The following is a 19,198-nucleotide window of genomic DNA, read 5'->3' on the forward strand; positions in this document are numbered from 1 at the left end:
GTACTCTTTTGAATTCCTACCTGTCACATCCCACCCAGAATTCAAATAGATTCAAAGGCAACTTCCTTCACCAACGTTTTCCTGATCCTGCTTCCCACACCCTTGGGGTATGAGCTCTCGCTCCTCTAAAGCCTCAACAGACTTAGATCTTCTTCTAGGGCATTCTCCCATTCTGTTTTGCACAGGAGCCAGCTGAGGTATAGAATTACCCACTGACACACTGCACGCCTCACAAAGGCAGGAACTGGTGTAGACTCAGTCTGATTTCCCCACACTACCTTGTACACATCTGTACATGTAAGTGATCAATATATAGTTTCTGAATATGCTGCACTGACATGTACTTGAAAACTGTTTGATATAAAAACTACTTTGGAAGACAAAGGAGAAATAAAACTGGAAGCGCAGGAAGTAAAAGGAGCTGGGGAAGATTTTGATTCATGCTCCCTGCTTCTGCTGGGGAGCTGTCCAAAGAACAGACCCTTGATATGAATCTGATATTTTAAGAGATGCTCCTAGCAAGTTACTAAAATTTCATTCAACATTAACTGAGTCATTGCTATTTACCAAGGTCTGTACCACGCACCCAGGTATAATGATTGATAAGAAATAGCCCCTGTTCTTTGAAAGCGAACACAGCCTAGTGAAGAAATCCTATATAAACAGATAAATTTAATAAATATAATAAGTTTTCGGAAGGTAAAAAGTATATCTGTGCAGAGGGGAAGTAGAGGCAGTAGCAGAAGTAGTACCCCTGCATTTGAAAATCGGGTAACTTCAGGAAGGAAGGAATATTTGACTGAGGTCTTGAAGAATGGTAGCAATTTGCTGGGTGCAAGTGGCCATTCCTGGCAAAGCCAACAAGTGTTCAGGGTTGGAAGATGGTGCTCATGGGAGGGACAGACATTTAGAGTGGCTAGAGCATGGGGTGCACCCAGGGATGAGGCTCAGGGGGTGGGGCCAGCCAGTGCAGGGCCTTCTAATGAACGAGTTCGCAAAAGTTCATACGGTGGGCCTCAAGGAGCAATGAGCAGGTCCTACAATGCACCTGACGTGTAATGATTCCCACTTGTGCACATCATCATCCCCTTTTTTCTTGCCTCCTGTAGCTCACCCAGACACACTGTAGTTCAGCTGCAGGATGAAGGATGTGTGTACTGCCTGCTTATTAGTGCTGAGGCAGAGAGCACAGTGCTTCTGTCTGATATTTTGACATTTACTTTAAGGTATAAATACTTGAAATGCAAAGACATAAATATTCAAAATTGGACATTTTCAGCCATTTAGTCATTTAACTCCATATTACACGTTTATATCCCAACCCTTATCATCATAAGAAAGAAAGAAAGAAGAACAATGTACTCTCTCAAGAAGACTAGAGGAATGGCACTTCTCACACTAGAAACTTACTGAGCCGCAATTTTGATGAATTTTTTCACCAGCTGCACTCGCTTGCCCAGCTGGCTGCAGAGCAGAATCTCCGTGGCCACCCAAAGCTGGACCTCATTGCATCTCTGGAGCAGAAGGCTGAGATTTGCAGTGTGTTCCCCACTTCCCTGTCTGCTGAACGTGAAGTAGATCAGCTCTTGCTGAAAGAAAATGTATTCATGCCAGGGTTTATTTATAGCAAAGTATGGTTGATACAAAACTCGGTCAAATTTTAAGAGCTACTTCAGGTAGTTCCTCCCATATTATTAATACACTAACAGAGAACATGGTGAATAGTAATACATTAAATTCAAAATGAGTTAGTTTTAGAGGTGCCTCATTCAATAATGTTCACCTAGAATCCTTATATAAGTGATTTTTCAGAATGTAAGGAAGACATCTTTATATACAAATCTAAGATATCCTGAAGTTTAAATCATAGGATAAAAGGAATCCCCAAATTTCCCAAACTTGTCATGTTGAAAAATTCAAGTGAAAATGAACGCTAGTAGTACTAGTATTTGTTAAGGTGCACATCAGACCCTCACAGGTCTGTTCTCTAAGACAGTGGTCCTCAAATTTTAGTGTGAATCAGGATCACCTGGAGGACTGCTGAAGCACAGATTGCTGGATCCCACCCCTAGAACTTCTGATCCTGTAGGGGTGTGGAGGGGCCGGAAATCTGCATTTCTAACAAGTGCCCAAGTCCCGCTGATGATGCTGGTCTGAGTACCTGCTCTTTAAAAACCACCAATATAAAACATTGTCAAACCATAAAATGCAAAGAGAATGAGATTAGGGCAAGGTCTGATAATTTACGAAATCAAACAAGACCAGTAACTATTTATATAGATGGACCATGTGCAAAGCAATAGAAGAGATTTGTTTTTAAATGTGTTTGTGTGCGTGTGTGTGTGTGTGTGTGTGTGTGTGTGTGTTTTATAGAGGTAATCTACATTCTTCCACTGCATAAGCAGGGATATATCCCAGTCTACTAACACTTCCAAAGACACAAGTCATTTAGTCTGAAGGAATTCAGTACTTGCTCACATTCTGATCATAATATTGAAATCTGTTTAATGAGAAAATATGAGGACATTTGGGTCTCTAAATTGGGCATGAGGTTCCTTCTTCAGAAGGAAAGGCCACTTCAGAATGAAAAATTTCACTACATGGCGAAGCAAATGCAACATATGGTTACAGAGGGCTCTAACATTTTTCATCTCTTGATTCCTGTGAGGGTTTTCTCTGGACAAATGTATTCATGAATCGTCAGTAGCATTTTGCTATTTCCCAATCTATTGTTTTAAAAATGTTATAATCTGTCCTCAAGTGAAAAACTGATGGACATAAAAACTTGAAATATATCCAAAATTTTCAATAAATTACTTGAAGTCTTACAATGCAGTCTAAATTTGTAGAATGTTCTTAAGTAAAAAGATGGATATGTGTGTACATACATAAATATGAATATGATTCTTGTACAACTATCATAAGCTTCATGGAAAAAATAAACCTATCAATATCAAAGATAAAATGGTTCATCAACCCCATTAGAGCCTCATCTCCAAATACATATATATATTTATATGCATGAAATACAGCATATTTATACATTACACAAGCATATGCTCACACTAGGGGCAAATAAAAGCATGCTCACATATTCTGATTTTTTTAGAATTGAGTCAGTCTTTCAATATATTTCAAGTCCCCAAATATCTTTTGGACCACGTTATTCTAGCATAATTTCATCACCGCACGCATTGATATTCTTCACAAAGAATTCACAGTTAAAACAGCATTTGTATTTTATCTTGTCACTCCTCATTTACCTCGTGAATTGAATTGAATAGACTCCAATCAAAATTCATTAATTCCAGAGCAAGATCCCAAGTGTTCATTCCCAAAATCCTCATCGACCTTTGCTGTGATTCCTCATTTTCTGCAAATGGGTTCTAAACCAACAGAAGCAAAAAGATCCTCAGTAATTCCCAAATGTTTTGCACTGCATTGGCTGGCTGTAGAAAGGCACTAGAAGCTCAGATTAGCAAAGTAATCTTTTCTGAGTGCACTTAATATTTTCCCTGGTCTGTTCACCTTCAGTGAGTTACAGCCAATTTAGGAAACGGTCTTGGGAACAGTAGAATGTGATCAATGATACTTCAGTGAGTTCGCCCGCTCCTCCCCCATCTCTCTCCCCTACCCCCACGTGCACACATGCACGCACAAATCTGATTATAAAACACTGCCCTGGCAGACAGCATAATGAAAGTGAAAGCCCCGAAATCACTTTGGCTTCTGGTAAGAATTAATGTGCCGGCAGGGTTAGCATAAAAACAAACAGAAGAAATGTCATGGTGCACTTCAATAAAGACAGACATGGCGTTTACAGGAAATACGTTTAGCAAGTCTCATCCCAGACACACATTTACACATTTTATTAAAATGCCCATAGAAAGTAAAAAAGTTTTAACATGAAATAAAAAATAGAAATTATTTCATTTATATCCCATGGTAGATTATTATTTTAAGTATCAACTGCTTTCCCTACGTAAATAGGGCCTAACAACTATGAGGCTGGTAACAGTATTTCCTTAAGATATGGCATAAAAGTATTAGATGCCATCACAACTTTCAATCTATTTCACCACTAAAGTTATTAAAAAGATTATTTGGCATCTTTCCAAAATAGTTGATGTTTTCTAATGAAAATATAAATTCTCCCATTTGAAGCGTTAGATTTGAATAATAACTTTAAAACAAACAGAAGGAACCTTGCAAAAATAAATGACATAGTAGGATAAAGGGAATATTCCAGGTGCCAAATATTAATCAACATTTCTAAACTGAAAAATAAGTTATTTGCATTTTAGAAGTTTTACATTGATGAAAACGTTTCCTATTTTTTTTAAAAAACCTAATGACTGAAGATCTTCACAGAGCTTTCCCACAGACTCAGTCCTCTCAGCAGCATGTCAAGGTCCACTTTGTCTCTGTATCCCCAGTGTAGGGCACAGTGTGGTGCTCGGAAAGCAATGACCAAACGAACCAGCTAACAAATGTAGAGGTGTTGAGGTGGAGGAAAAGCTGAGGTTTCTCAGGGATTGGTCTGGCCAGGCTAAGACCAGACAGGCTCTACTGCTGACTTTCTAAGAAAGACCCAGAGTGAGGAAGTAACACACATACCTGCTTAATAATTTGGAGGTGTCAGGATACTTCTACTTGGCTCTTTGTCCCCATTTTCTCCCTAATTGGGTCCCTTACCCAACTCGAGTTATTAACTCTATTTATTCAAGGTTAAATAACTCTATTTATTCAAGGTTGTCCATTGCCCTTGCCAAGGAACATTAAATTTTTCTATCTCATTCCTTCAGTGCTCTAATTCCTGTTTTCTAAGAAGATTAATCTATGTGAAAGTGATAGTAGGTACTGGTGTTTTCAGGTATTATTCTTCCCTTACAATGTTAGATTTTAACTGACATCTTTTGGTGATGAAATATCTAAATCTATGATTCCAGTAGGACAATTTTAGGTGGTGTCAAGAGTTGGCAGGGGAGGCTTTTGAGGGTAGGATGGAGTCTGGCTTCTCTTGGAACATATTTCACAGCACCTATTTATTCCATCAAGGCATTGCCCAGGCCTGCCTTCTTTTCTGAAGGTGGCCTTGGACAGTGGTAGATTGAGCCGTGGGGATGCACAGGAGGGAGCTACCTGAGAAGGCCACGTATGGGTGGCAGAGGAGGCATAGAGGATATTCAGAGTGGGGGTTTCCTCTACCGCAACAAGCCCCACAGTAGCTACATGTCAGATCGTCCTCCTTCATGGGGAGCGGTAAAATCAATCTCATTATTTACTCAAAAATGCTGTGCAGCACCCAGTTGGTTATGTTTCACTGACAGAATTACACAGGACTGTGGCCTGCTGAAGGACAGCACAGGAAAGGTCCAAGTAAGGCATGTACAAATGAAAGAAATGTGCAGGGGCTTCAGAGTCAAACATATAATTGCATTTAAAAATCGAAGCACTCTCCCTGACTTGGCTGTATGAAGCTACAGTGGTTACTCAGCCTCTCTCGTGGGGTTACTGGAAGTGTTAAACGAGATACCGTATGTAAATTACTCAGCACATACAGATCTGGTAATAAGTGATTAACATTATTATGATAGCTTAATATCCTGCAGACAACGTTACATAAAATGTCTTTCCAGTAGACATATATCTGGACATAAAACTATTATCAGTAGTTTGGGTTAACCTACGTGGTATGCAGGTTTCTCAATTATACATACAACAGGAGCCAGTGAGAAAGACCCGCCCCAGCGATGGCTCCATGAAGAGATGGGGACTCTGAGTTCCAGACACAATCGCAATCTGCTAGAGCCCACTTTTTCTAGATGACAGATCTGAAGTCTGGTCCTCCTATTCAGAAGCCAATCCCAGGACTGAGGTCTTTAGGAACCACAGCAGCAATGAAATCACCCACTTAGGCATAGGTGTTCTTAAATTTTGGACTGAAAGTAACTTAAAGTGTGGGTTCTACATTTCTCCAGACTCTTTATCTTCAGTGGCAGCTGACGTCCCATCACCATGACCCCGTTCTACACAGAGAAGGCAGGTCATCCATGCTTTTCTTCAAGGGAATGGAACGAAGTGTACCAAATGTACTGAAACAAGGGACTCTTTCTCCTTAAATCCACCTAGGATGCATTTCTCAGCCTCATCTTCATATACTCACCGAAAAAGAAGAAATGAAATTAAAATTCGATGGGAGAAGGAGTCACCTATCTCAAATCCCTTATTTCAGGGGCTTAGAAAGGGTTTCACTTAGGCAGGGTTTAGAATTCCTCAAGTTGGATTGAACTGAATTGCTCAACCCCTTTTTGATTTTTTGATTTGTAAAAGTACTGTTACTTGGGAATTGTATCATTGGATAAGGGAAGAAATAATTTAATTTTTTTAACATTCATTATAAACACATAAAACCTATGCTTTATGTGGTACGTGTGTTCCTTTTTTTTTTTTTTTTTTTTTTTGAGACAAGGTCCTACCCTATCACCTGGGCTGGAGTGCAATGATGAGATCACAACTCATTGCAGCCTTGACCTCCTGGGCTGAAGAGATCCTCCCACCTCAGCACACACCTAGGGACAACAGGTGTGTACTACTATGCCCAGTTAATTCTTAAGTTTTTTTGTAGAGACAGGGTTGCAAACTTCTAAGCTGGTCTCAAACTTCTGAGCTCAAGCCATCTTCCTGCCTTGGCCTCCCAAAGTGCTCAGATTACAGGTATGAGCCACCTCGCCTGGCCTGTTTGTTTCAAATACAAGGCTGAAGGTCCTTACCAAAGTGTCCGCCAGGTCTTTCCGGTAGACATATATTCGACCAGATGCCTCGAGGGATTTGGAGATGACTAAGTCATTTGGCTGAAGTTCATGCTTTTCTTTATTTGAAAAAAAAAAAAAAAAAAGGAATAATCAGAAATACAAGAGTAGCAGCAGTAGGCCTACACAGTACACTTAAAAAGTGAAACTTGCCAAAGAAAAATACTTAAAAGTAAATAGAACTTAAAGTGGATTAATTAAGTTCTGCACACTCTATACAATGATACCAGTGGCATCACAAATAGCTCTCACTGCTCAGCGGTCAGAAAGTGGAGTCCTCTTGCAGTTATTTCCTATAACATTTAGTCATTGTTTGGAACACAGAACAGTTTAAGACAAAAAGTAAAATTTACTCATCTAAGATAACAATACCATGTTAACACTGGTTACACTTAGGTCTATTTTTGTTCTGATTTTTATATAACCATGTATATATATACACACACAAATAATTGCATTGATTTGCAATGATTTATGCATATGCATTTATAACTATTGCGGATACACATATACATTTGCAATTATTCCATAGTTTTATATTCTCATATTCTTATAAGCACTTTATCCACTTGCCAAAATTATTTACATATGTCATGTTTAATTGGTTATATGATAGTTCATTATACCATCATTTAATCTTTCCTCTACTGTTGAACATTTAATGGTTAATTTTTTTGGTCATATAAATTAGATGGCATGATGTGTGCTAAGTACTGGCACGGGGCCTGGCACATAACTGGGGTTTGGTAAATGGGATCTATTATTATAGCTGCCACAATATATATTGCTGAAGTCAATATCCTTATGTTTAAATCTTTGTCTGCTTATAAATGATTTTCTTAAGACAGACACCCAGTATTAGAATTACTAGGTCAAAGGGAATGAATATTTTTAAAGTTTTTGATACAAACTACCAAATTGTTTTCTGATTTTTATTTTTTAAAAAAGAAAGACAATATATTTTCCTAAAAAATAGGTATAAAACTTGCACACTGACCAACACTGATCATTACTTTTTTTTTTTTTTTTTTTTTGAGACAGAGTTGCACTCTGTCACCCAGGCTAGAGTGCACTAGTGTGATCTCGGCTCACCGCAACCTCTGCCTCCTCCTGGGTTCAAGTGATTCTCCAACCTCAGCCTCCCGAGTAGCTGAGATTACAGGTGCCTGCTACCACGCCTGGCTAATTTTGTATTTTTAGTACAGATGGAGTTTCACCATGTTGTCTAGGCTGATCTTAGACTCCTGACCTCAAGTGATCCGCCTGCCTTGGCCTCCCAGAGTGCTGGAATTACAGGTGGCAGCCACTGCACCCAGTCTGATCATTACTTTTGGTAAGTTTACTATTTTGCTAATACAAAAAGTAGATTCTCTGTTTACTTTGTGTTTCTTAACTAGTAGGTTGAATATTTTTCATATATTCCTCCTCTATCTTATTTCTCTTGTTGCAAATTGTTCCTATCCTTTGACCATTTTCTACCACAATTGGAGCCCTCTTATAACATAATAGCTTTCTTCCTAGAAAATGCCCTCCTCCTAACTACAAAATGCATATGGGAGTAGACTAAAGTCATATTAAAGTTTATTTCACTGTGACACAATCAACTTCTCCTAAGGTAGCTGTTCAGTTATGCAGCATGATTGGGAAATGCAATATTCCATATGCCTTTTCTAGATAATTGGCCCAAATGCAAAGTGTTGTTTTGAACATTTCTGTTTAATGCAGAGTATACAAATAATAATCTAATATATTCTTTACGGCCCAGCATTATAAAGATCCACAGTACTATAATGTTGGGCTGGTGACATGTATAGCGGATGGTCTCACACAGCTGGATTCTTAAGTTCCATCTCCTGGGTTCCATCTGCTCCTTCTTTGTTCAGCTATAATTTCTTGCAGCCCTTTCTGTGCCTATGTATACTTTAAATCTGAATTTATGAGAGCCATTTATACTTTATAGAATAAAATGTCATGACTTTCTGATAGCATTTTTCCATTTGCTGAGAAACATTTTTCCCCTTATTTTCAGGTTTGTCACTATAATATGAAAGATTAAAACTGATAGAATTTTAACTTCTGAATAACTGGGTAGTTTATTGTTACTACATACGTATAACTACCCTGGGTAAAAAACAGCTAAAGACTTACTAAAGCTATGAGAATGATACTATTGTTCCTTTTAGAAAAATCCATAAAACCTCTAACATCTCTGATATCTTAAAACTTTTTTTTTGACAAAAACAAAGAAAAAACTCACCATTTCTTTTTGAAGTAGGACTAAAATATAATTTATTAAAAATTATGTAACTAGAACAAGGATTGCATTAAGCTTTTGAGATTGTTTTCTTTGTGAAAACATTATTGTTTGGGGGATAAAAAGATGCAGGCAGAAAGGTTCTCTACAGAAAAAAGTAGAGGATGGAAAATAATGGCACATTGCCAAATCTGTGGGATAATTCAAGAGATATGCTGATATTTCTAGTGATGATTAGCAATGGGTCTATAGACATTACAACGCTATTGCCCATACTGATGAATCTAATTTAATAGAGTGTGAAAATGGTATTTCACAGCCACCAAATAGATATTGGGTAGTGAAAGAGCCGCTCATTAATTGCCAGCTTCTCACGAGGCCCTGGGTTGACTCTCAGTCAGCTCCCAAAGGAGACGGGTCTCAGTTTTGCTGCAGAGTTCATTCAGCTCTTCCTTCTCTGGCACCTTCTGTCTGAATGGGGACCCCAGGATCACTCTCTGTAGTGGTACTACCTTGAGAGGTGGATGCTTAAGCTTAATACTGCTTAATTAAGCAGTATTGATAAAGCTTAATACTGTTTAAAATCCTTTTATATTTTTGGTCACTTGAAAATTAAACATAACATACATTTATCATACCAATTTGAAATATATTATTAAAAATCGAACCACTCTCTGATTAAAAGTCATTTAGGCCATATGTTTCTCAAATTCTTTTTTCTAGATCATGTTTTGCTAAGATATACAATTAGAGCCCTGGGAGAGGTGGAGGGATTCTTATGTATTAGGCCCAGGGAGAAGGGCTTCATTTGCATACGTAATCAACCAGCTTGTAGGACCATTTTACCTGCCTGTGAGCAACAAAGCCATAGGAACAAGATACTTTACCCTCAAGTATATTCTGATATTCATCTCCCAACTGCAGAATGATAACAAAGGGTAAACAGGAATGCGGTTAATCTGCTCCCCTCCCCTGCCCGCATCTCTGGTTAATTAGCCCCCACAGTGCTCACATTTTTCAACTACTGATGCTAAGTCACTTTCTTTGTATTTTTTTCTCAGGGTTAAGGAGATATTAAATAAAGATTGCAAACCAAAAAAGGAGGCCAGCAACATTGAGATCTGACAGGCTCCAGTGAAAACGAAGAGGTCTGTTCAAGCCGCATAGATCAATAGTGTCAGCTTGTAATCTGTGTGATCTTATTCAAAACAGACAATAAACCATTCTCTGAGGATACATAAGGCCCAACAGAAGGAGAAGTTGTAACCAGGCCTCACTCCCCACGTCCACCTAAAGGAATATTGCCGTGTGAGCTTTCAGCTTATTGTACAGTTTGTCTTTCAATAGGGAGTCTTTAACTATTAAATTGTCAGCCCGCAATAGGACTGGTTCAAGGCCATCTTTCCTTTTTTTTTTCCACCCCAAAGTAATTTCACTCTTTAGCAATTTCCCAAGTTAATTTAAATAGGAAAATAGAAGGCTTATCTAGAGTACAAAATATGAAAAGCTTTATAATGTATTTCAAAACACTGGCATGCCTCTCTATTCAGTTCTTGGGGAGGAAATTCAGTATCCCACAGTACCCAACTGTTGTCATGGAAACACTTCTGGTAGGCAGCTTCTTATTGTTACTGTGGTCATCCAGCTGCGGGCCCAGAAGGGAGGAGCTGCACTTTTACTCTACAAAAATGTCACCTCCCTCCTTTTGAAGGAGATCAGTGAAAGATTAATATTCAAGGGTAGAAAACAACTTACCCCCAGAGAATGTGATGGCCACCAGAGCCAGATCCTCTTCTGCATACTGGATCTTTTCTGCCACGACTTTTAGGATCTCTTGGGCTATACTGGAAACTTTTGCCTTCACACTGACATAGGAGTGCTCTGTTATATACACGTGGCAGAAAACTGCACAAGTGAAAAGAATTGTTTGGAAACAGAGAACAGTGGTCACGAGGTATAGACTTTTCCAAATCAAGGCACCTTGATCAACTTTTCTAAATCAACCCACCTGGCTATTCTCTTCAGTATAACACATACAGAGTTAGATTTTTTATATATGTACATGAGCACCTGAGGGTATACGTCTATAAATGTGTGCTTGCAAACACATGAAACTCAGATGTTGTAAAGCCAGCCAACAAGCACAAGTAGTATTTAATCTTTTCATTATGTAATGAGAGACCCGAGTCACGCAAGTGTGTACTCACTGTAGAAACCATCTGACCATAATACAGTGGAAACTGTGGTACACAGACTGTATTTTTAAATCCCTTCTTTGACAGTTGCTGAGATCTCCCAAAGCTGCATATTAAAGTGTCTAATTCATAAATTTTTCCTTTACACTCCATTTCAGGACAATCTCAGTGGCCCAATCAAGAACACCGTATTTTGCTATTAGAATTCTCATAAGCTTATCTAAAAATCTGTCATCTGCCTTGGTTTTTGAGTTCAGCTTTCTCAGTCATTTAAGAATGACTCCATTTCTCCCATCAAGGTAGTGATGAATTTAGTTTCCAAATGGAGGTCACATTTCTAGTCTTTTTAATTTCCTTTTTATTGTCTGTGGTGCTAATAATTATTACTAGGACATTATCACTATCAGGGTGAATGGGTCCTGAAAAATGTTTTCTTTATGATATTAATAGCAGAAGCTGTTTTAATAGCAATGGAAGTAACTGACACATTACCTCTTATATCAGCTACTATAAATGTATAAAATGCACTAGCTTCTTTCAAATAGACAGAAGGACAATAATATACTTAGATATTCTACTCTTTGGTGTTGCAAAAAAATTGAGAGTGAAGCTTCTGGAGAAATTTTATATGCAGTTTAATTGGCACCACAAAAATAAACCCAGGAATGTTTTCATAGAAATACAAATGAAGCAAAAGTCTAACTATGAGTTTATATGTATAGAACCTCAAAGTAAACACACCACCAGGAGACACTTGACATATTTGGTTTGGTTGGGTACGTCACTAAAACAACAGCATGTAACAAATAGTTGTTTTGTATTTTGCCAATAGACTAGTGAGAGAGAAAAAGGCTTTCCTCCTTCCATAGAAAGATGGAATTTTTAAGCAAGGCAAAATCTGGTCTATAAACCACTATATGCAGGGTAAGTTTACATCTTGCTAAATAAACTGATAAAAAGAGTCTGGGGGCCTCGAAATACTTTGCCTCTTTGCAGCTCAGCTTGGAAAACTACACGATGAAACTTTAAGACAAATGGGCAAGGAAGGTCAGCAACGAATGAATTAGGAAGTTAGATAATTTTATTTTCTCTTTCACTTGGTACGGATGACACTTAATATGAGCCAACAGAACCATGTATCAGCAGCATTATATGCAAACACTATCTAATGTAATAAGCATCCTTGTGACTTCTTTTACAAGTTCCAGAAATTGGGCAAATATTAAATGATCACACTCAGAATTTCAGCATATGAAGAAAGATGAGGCAAAAGAGAGAGTCTGTGAGTTATAATTGCATTAAAATTTTAATTTGCTGTGTTTTCCAGCTCTGTGCTTGACTCAATCTTTATCTAAAAGGAGAAAACCACTGGTAATATTTCTTATTTCACGCAAATAAGCAGTGACTGAGGACACAGTAGATGGGCAGCACTGCCCACACAGCCTGGCCTTGCAGGAGCTTCTACCGTACAGCCTTCTCTCCACAGGAGTTTCTTCTCGTGGACTGAGTCATGGACTGACTCAGCCCAAATCTGCACATTGACTTTGGTGATCCTTCCAGTTAGTCATAGACAATGGGCTGATGAAGGCAGGGAGGAGATGGTTCTAGGAGGAAAAGGCTGAGTCTCCCGTTCATTTTTACCTCTTCTCAAGAATGCAAGGAGGCTCTAGGCATTGTCTCCTTTCCTTGCTTCCCAAATTATAAGTATCCTTGGTGCTTGGGACAGTATTATGTGATCTAAGAAAACCATAATGCTCAAATAAAGAAAAGAAAAACCATGCTGTTTGAGGCTAACGTGCTTATCTGAGGGGTGACAGCTGGAAATGAAGGTTAGTCAGGCTGATATGCCAATGTAGGAGAAAAATGGTGGCTAACTGCTGCCCACCCCCAAACCCTCACTTCAAACCATACTCACTTTCCTCCGTTTCAGTCACAGTTCCTCTATGCTGGAGCCAGTTCTCCTTAAGACTGAATTGGTGGAAAAGGGCTTTATTCTGTGAGATGGGAGAAAGAGAACAATGAATGAATACATTCCTGCCCTTTGGAAAACCATAGCTGTTTACAATATGTTCCAAAAGAACTAGCCAAATTTTTTTTTAATATGAAATCCACCCATCCAATCTTAGAGAAATAAACTGGGAGTCGCCTCAACTAATGCAAGTGGTGGTGGAGATTCTGAGCAATCTGATGGGCCTGGGCTAAGGCCAGCAGCAGGCCAAAAGCCCCTATATTTATTCCCTGCAACATGATTTTTCACATCTGGCTATTACAAACATCCATAGAGTCTCCTGAGATAAACATCATTTCCCCATTCCAACATTAACCTATAAGGTATAAGTTATCACAATCCGATCCTCTGCTATTACATTTTTCATGGAAGCAACTTTGAGATGGTTTCAGTACCTCTGCTGTAGTACAATGACTTTCCTAAGGGACACAGGCATGCTGTTCATTATGATTATCCACCTGATATAGCTGTGTCTCCCAAACTTGTGCCTGACATCTCAGTCCATATTTCTCCCTCATCAAATTGGACTGAGAACACATTCCCACTTGCTACCTTCTCTTTCGGTTGTATTAAAAGTGCAAATATTTTCTTTACAAGACTTCTTTCCTCTTAGAGTCAAGATTCCTTCTACCTGGATTTTGTTTTTTGACATAAACATTATTCAAATTTATATCACTCCAGGGATAGCAGGGAGTCCCAAGACTCTAAAATGCACCACAAAATCAGCAGAATGTCAAAAAGCCAAGGGTACACAGCTAAAATCGGATCTGCACCAGCACAGGGATAACTAAAGCAAAGCAGGAAAGCGCAGGGAAGCTGCAGCCCCAGGCGCCCCGCCTTGTCGTGTTCTGCTCGAGGCAGTATTCATTTTAATTATGAAACACGCCAAGGGAGGCAAGGCAAGGTCTCCAAACCGGATCACCTAATTTTAGGTATAGAAGCATCTGCTTACCTTTTTTTGTGGTGAATATTCATCTACAGTGCTGAAAGGAAAAATGGCAAGAAGTCAGTCTTTGTCTCAAACCCAGAATAATGCAGTTATTGTTACGGAAGACTAATTTTCCAGCACTAGGCAGAGGATTTTGCTCTTTAAAAAAAATAAAACACAGTATTCATTAATTCACTATGTACAACACATTTGACATTGGGCTCTGAATTTCAAATGAGCCAGGAAGTAAAGAAGTTATGGATTCAACAGATGTACTTTGCCTTCTACCCACAGAAAGTAAAGCTCAGAAGTGAGGGAGGAACTGGATCTGCTCAGTCCATGGGAACTCAGTCCACAGAAATGAGGATTTTTTAAAATTGCAATATTCAGTCCATAGAAATAAGTTTTCTCATACAGTGATAGTGACAGATTTTAGGTGAAATTATTGCTATTTAGATAGCTAAGTCATTCAGCCAAGGCACATCTTCTCCAGGATGTGTCTCTGTGTGGTGGAACTGGGAACACTCTGCCCATCTCTGATCATCTCCGCAGATGCCCACCTTCAAGTGCCCTCTGAAGGCCAGCTCCACTTATGAAGGAGCCAGTACTGGGGCCAATTTCATACATCATTAGGTGAACTATAAATTAAAGGTATCAATCTTGCTCTCAGAAAGAAACACTTTCTCCTCTATTTGTGTACTGGGGCTAGAGAAAAAAAAGTCATGAGTTTTACATTTAGGGCTTGAATCTTACTCTAGAATCTAAAGCTATTTCATAATCTTATAAAAATAGACAAAAATCATTTTTTTTTTTGAGACAGAGTCTCACTCTCTCACCCAGGCTAGAGTGCAGTGGCGTGATCACTCTTCACTGCAGCCTTGACCTCCAGGGCTCAAGTGATCCTCCTGCCTCAGCCTCCCAAGTAGCTGGAACTACAGGCATGTGACACCACGCCCAGCTAAGTTTCTATTTTTTGTAGAGATGGGGGTCTCACTATGTTGCCCAGGGTAGTCTTAAACTCCTAAACTCTTGGACACAAGTGATTCTCCCACCTCTGACTCCCAAAGTGCTGGGATTATAGGTGTGAGTCACTGTGCCTGCCAAGAATCATTTCTTAATATCATTTTCTTATTTTACTTTATTATTTACCATTTTTGTGTAGCTTTTAAAATGGAATGTATTAAATTTCCATTAATGTATTTGATGAAATGTGTTTACATGTATTAAACCATGAAATAAAGTTTCCCAGCTGTAACAGGTCTGCCTCATAGCACAGAGCAATTTCCATATGGGGAATTATTTTGAGGACAAGGTTGTCCTTTTTTTCTTTTTTTGATTTCATTCATTAGTTCATATTTTCATATAAGTCTTAGGCTATGGAAACATAACATAATGTAGACTGCAATAAAAGAAGACCACCAGCATTTACAACATCCATCTCTAAGGTACAGTGCTAACTTGCACTTTACTTTTAAATCTCTCAATGTAAGATTTTGATGATTGAGGACTATACACATGGTTTGCTACCTCAGATTAATTTGCAATGAGGTCTCCCTTTACTAAAATTAAGTCAAGCTTTAAATCACAAATTAGTAATCTGAAAGGCTTGAATTAACATTTTCTGAGAGGTGCAATTTGTGACTGTTGAAATCTTAACAGAAGCTTTTCACAACTTGACAATGTATGTACTTTATGTTTACGAAATAGAAACTGCACTGTGAATCAGATAACAATTTTCCCTTTTAGATGAACTCTGTGGCTAAATCTGAAAACTGAATGACTTGATGTTTTCTTTTACCAAAATTAGTAAGGGGACTTAATGGTAATATCGCTAACAGTAAAGTTGGGTGTTGCCAATCTGAAAGATTAATGACAGATACCTAGGGGACACTTAGACATGCCAAGAGTCATTGAGTAAATGGCTTTTTAAAGTCTTTCTAAATTGATAAAGAAACCTCAGGGAACCCATAAAATTGAGCTTTTAAAATGCTCCACAGGCCGGGTGTGGTGACTCACACTTGTAATCCCAGCACTTTGGGAGGCTGAGGTGGGCGAATCACCTGAGGTTGGGAGTTCAAGACCAGCCTGGCCAACATAGCTAAATCCCATCTCTACCAAAAATACAAAAAGTAGCCAGGTGTGGTGGTGCACCTCTGTAATCCCAGATACTTAGGAGGCTGAGGCACGAAAATCGCTCGAACCCAGGAGGTGGAGGTTGCAGTGAGCCGAGATTGCGCTGCTGCATTCCAGGCTGAGCAGCAGAGTGAGACTATGTCTCAAAAAATAAAATAAAATAAAATGTTCCACAACTCCCTGGGACCTATTTATAAAACTTTTCCTCCCCATTCCATAGAGATAGTTACAAGCCCCAAAATGACAAGTTAAACAGACTTTTAAAATTAAGTAATAATTTACTAATTGTTTTTACGTACCTGGTTGTTATGGCCCAGGTTATTTTTACTATATAAAACAGGGTTAAAACAATAGTCAATAAGCTGAATTCCGTGTTCTTTCATTTTGAGTTATAAGAACAAAACATACAATTTACTACTAGAAAAGCTAAGGCATCAAGATGAATCTGAGTCAAAATGTTCAAAATCAACTTTTATGTATAAGGCATTCCAAATTCTATCATATTTGCTGCTGTTTTCTTTCATTAACTATAATTAGGAAAATGAAATACTTACTGACGACGGTGCATTCCAAGTATCTTTTGAAATTCTTTCAATTCTTTTTCAAGTATTGGATATTCATAAACATCATCCAGTACATTCCTATATATGGTCTGGAGAAAAAAGACAAATGAGAGCTCAGTGGTTGAATGCCCATTTTGTAGGGATTAAGACTCATACCATGGCTATCCTAACACAGGAAATAAGGAGGGATTCAGGACAATGTACGGGTTTCACCAGGTGCCAATGAGATCCAGAATGGGATCATAACTCGCAGCTCCTCTCTCAACTGCCATGGCTCTCTATCTGCTTTCAGGGCCATAGGTGGAAATTCTGGAAAGAGAATTCTAGAGATCCCTAGCTGGCTGGCTACTAGAGATTTCCAGCCCATTCTATATCTTAAAAAATAATAGGCCGGGCATGGTGGCTCACGCCTGTAATTCCAACACTTTGGGAGGCTGAGGCAGGCAGATCATGAGTTCAGGAGATCGAGACCATCATGCCTAACACAGTGAAACCCCGTGTCTACTAAAAATACAAAAAAAAAAAAAAAAAATTAGCCATGCGTGGTAGCGGGCGCCTGTAATCCCCAGCTACTCGGGAGGCTGAGGCAGGAGAATGGCGTGAACCCAGGAGGCGGAGCTTGCAGTGAGCCGAGATCGCGCCACTGCACTCCAGCCTAGGCGACAGAGCGAGACTCCGTCTCAAAAAATAAATAAATAAGTAAACAAATAAATAAATAATAGTAATAATATAGGTTGGGTGTGGTGGCTCAGGCTGTAAATCCCAACACTTTGGGAGGCTGAGTAGGGAGAACTGCTTGAGCTGAGTACGAGACCAGCCTGGGCAACAAAGCAAGACTCTATCTCTACTAAAAAGAAAAAATTAGCTGAGTGTGGTAGTGCATGCCTTTAGTCCCAGATAGTCAGGAGGGTGAAGTGCAAGGATCTCTCAAGCTCAAGAGTTTGAGGTTGCAGTGAACTATGACTGCGTCACTGCACTGCAGCCTGGGTAGCAGAGCAAGACCCTGTCTCAACACACACACACACACACACACACACACACACACACACACACACAATTCCACATAATCATTTGGGAGAAAAAAGTCAATTGAATTAAATTAAGCAGTTGCTTTGCAAACAACATGAGTTTAAAGAGTTGGTTAGACTCGTTTTTAACTGGATGCCTAAATGACAACTGAATGTTGAATTCAAAGTAGTTTCCTTCATGAAAGGCTGAGTCTATTTAGGCAGTTGCCTACTCTGAACTAGAACTCTTCCTTGCTAGAATTCCATTGTATTCCTTCTCTGTCCTAACCTGCAGACTTAATATGATTTTGGTGGCCAAAGGAATCCAACTGTCTTACTAATCATCTCTCCAGATAATCATCTGTGTTGAAAAGATATTGAAGCCTATTAATTAGAAAAAATAAATCAGTTTGTCTCACTCTAAATGTAAAACTAGATTATATCTATTTTACAAATTATTGCTTAAAATTCTCAAAGTATACCATGTCTGACAAATGTTTCAAAGAACATACATTGTCAATATAGTTTTTAAATGATAAATAATGTTTTATGCAAATATTACATATAGAGGACTGGTTACTTTAAACTTATAATGAATATCAACATATTAAGCTATATCAAATTTTGAATGTTTTGATTTACCTTCCTTAATTATTTCATTAGCAATCAAAATTTCCATGACTTTTTAGATAGAGAATATCAAGCTTCAGAAGTCAAAATAAACTTAAATATTCTCTGAATCACAACTTGACTATCACAAGAAAGCTGAATGACTGTTACCTACAAATGAGATTTTTAAAATGCATAACTAAAAATAGAATCAGTTATTTGGCATCAAAGAATATCTGGAAATGTTTGATTACCTTTAAAAACATTTTTGAATGTTCATCTTCAGGTAACCAGTCTTTGTACAGAGCAATCCACTGGGAAACAAGATGCAAGACTTTACGTTTCCTACGCGGAACGTCTGAGTTTTCCTCTTTGCCTTGATACTTCTTAGCAGAATAGGTGCAAATGGTTAAGAAAAAATTATATTGTTGAAAATTTTAAAATATGAAGACATCCATTTACTCTTATTTTTACAAAATATGTGAAGGCATACAAGTGTATAAACATGCAGGAAGAATAGAATATGCGTAGGGAGAGCAAAAGGTGTGCACTGAGAAGAGCAAAAGTAAACTGAGGAAAATGACTGAAGTATACTCGGTAGGCAGCCAGGAAGTGAAGGGTTGGACCATTTCACTGACAGCTGCTGACATGGTTTCATAGGCAACATGCAGTTAATGCCAGCCCAAGGA

The 19,198-nt window shown here is 38.6% G+C and overlaps 1 protein-coding gene across 9 annotated transcripts in view; it reads right to left on the reverse strand.

Moving 5' to 3' along the window:
* The window catches only part of RAPGEF5 (Rap guanine nucleotide exchange factor 5), a 238,919-nt gene that overhangs the window by 25,398 nt on the left and 194,323 nt on the right, over positions 1-19,198 (reverse strand). For 8 of the 9 annotated variants that reach the window (NM_012294.5, XM_017012837.3, XM_047421084.1 and 5 more), the window contains 8 exons: positions 18,764-18,908; positions 16,885-16,982; positions 14,222-14,252; positions 13,177-13,255; positions 10,822-10,971; positions 6,774-6,871; positions 3,264-3,386; positions 1,411-1,589 (listed from right to left, as the gene is read on the reverse strand). In NM_012294.5, the coding sequence (NP_036426.4) occupies positions 1,411-1,589; positions 3,264-3,386; positions 6,774-6,871; positions 10,822-10,971; positions 13,177-13,255; positions 14,222-14,252; positions 16,885-16,982; positions 18,764-18,908 (903 nt within the window). Of the gene's footprint in view, positions 1-1,410; positions 1,590-3,263; positions 3,387-6,773; positions 6,872-10,821; positions 10,972-12,324; positions 13,256-14,221; positions 14,253-16,884; positions 16,983-18,763; positions 18,909-19,198 lie in introns of those variants that run through there. The other variant, NM_001367603.1, reaches the window with a different exon arrangement.

Source organism: Homo sapiens, chromosome 7, assembly GCF_000001405.40.
Source record: "Homo sapiens chromosome 7, GRCh38.p14 Primary Assembly".
In the NCBI taxonomy this organism is placed as follows: Eukaryota; Metazoa; Chordata; class Mammalia; order Primates; family Hominidae; genus Homo; species Homo sapiens.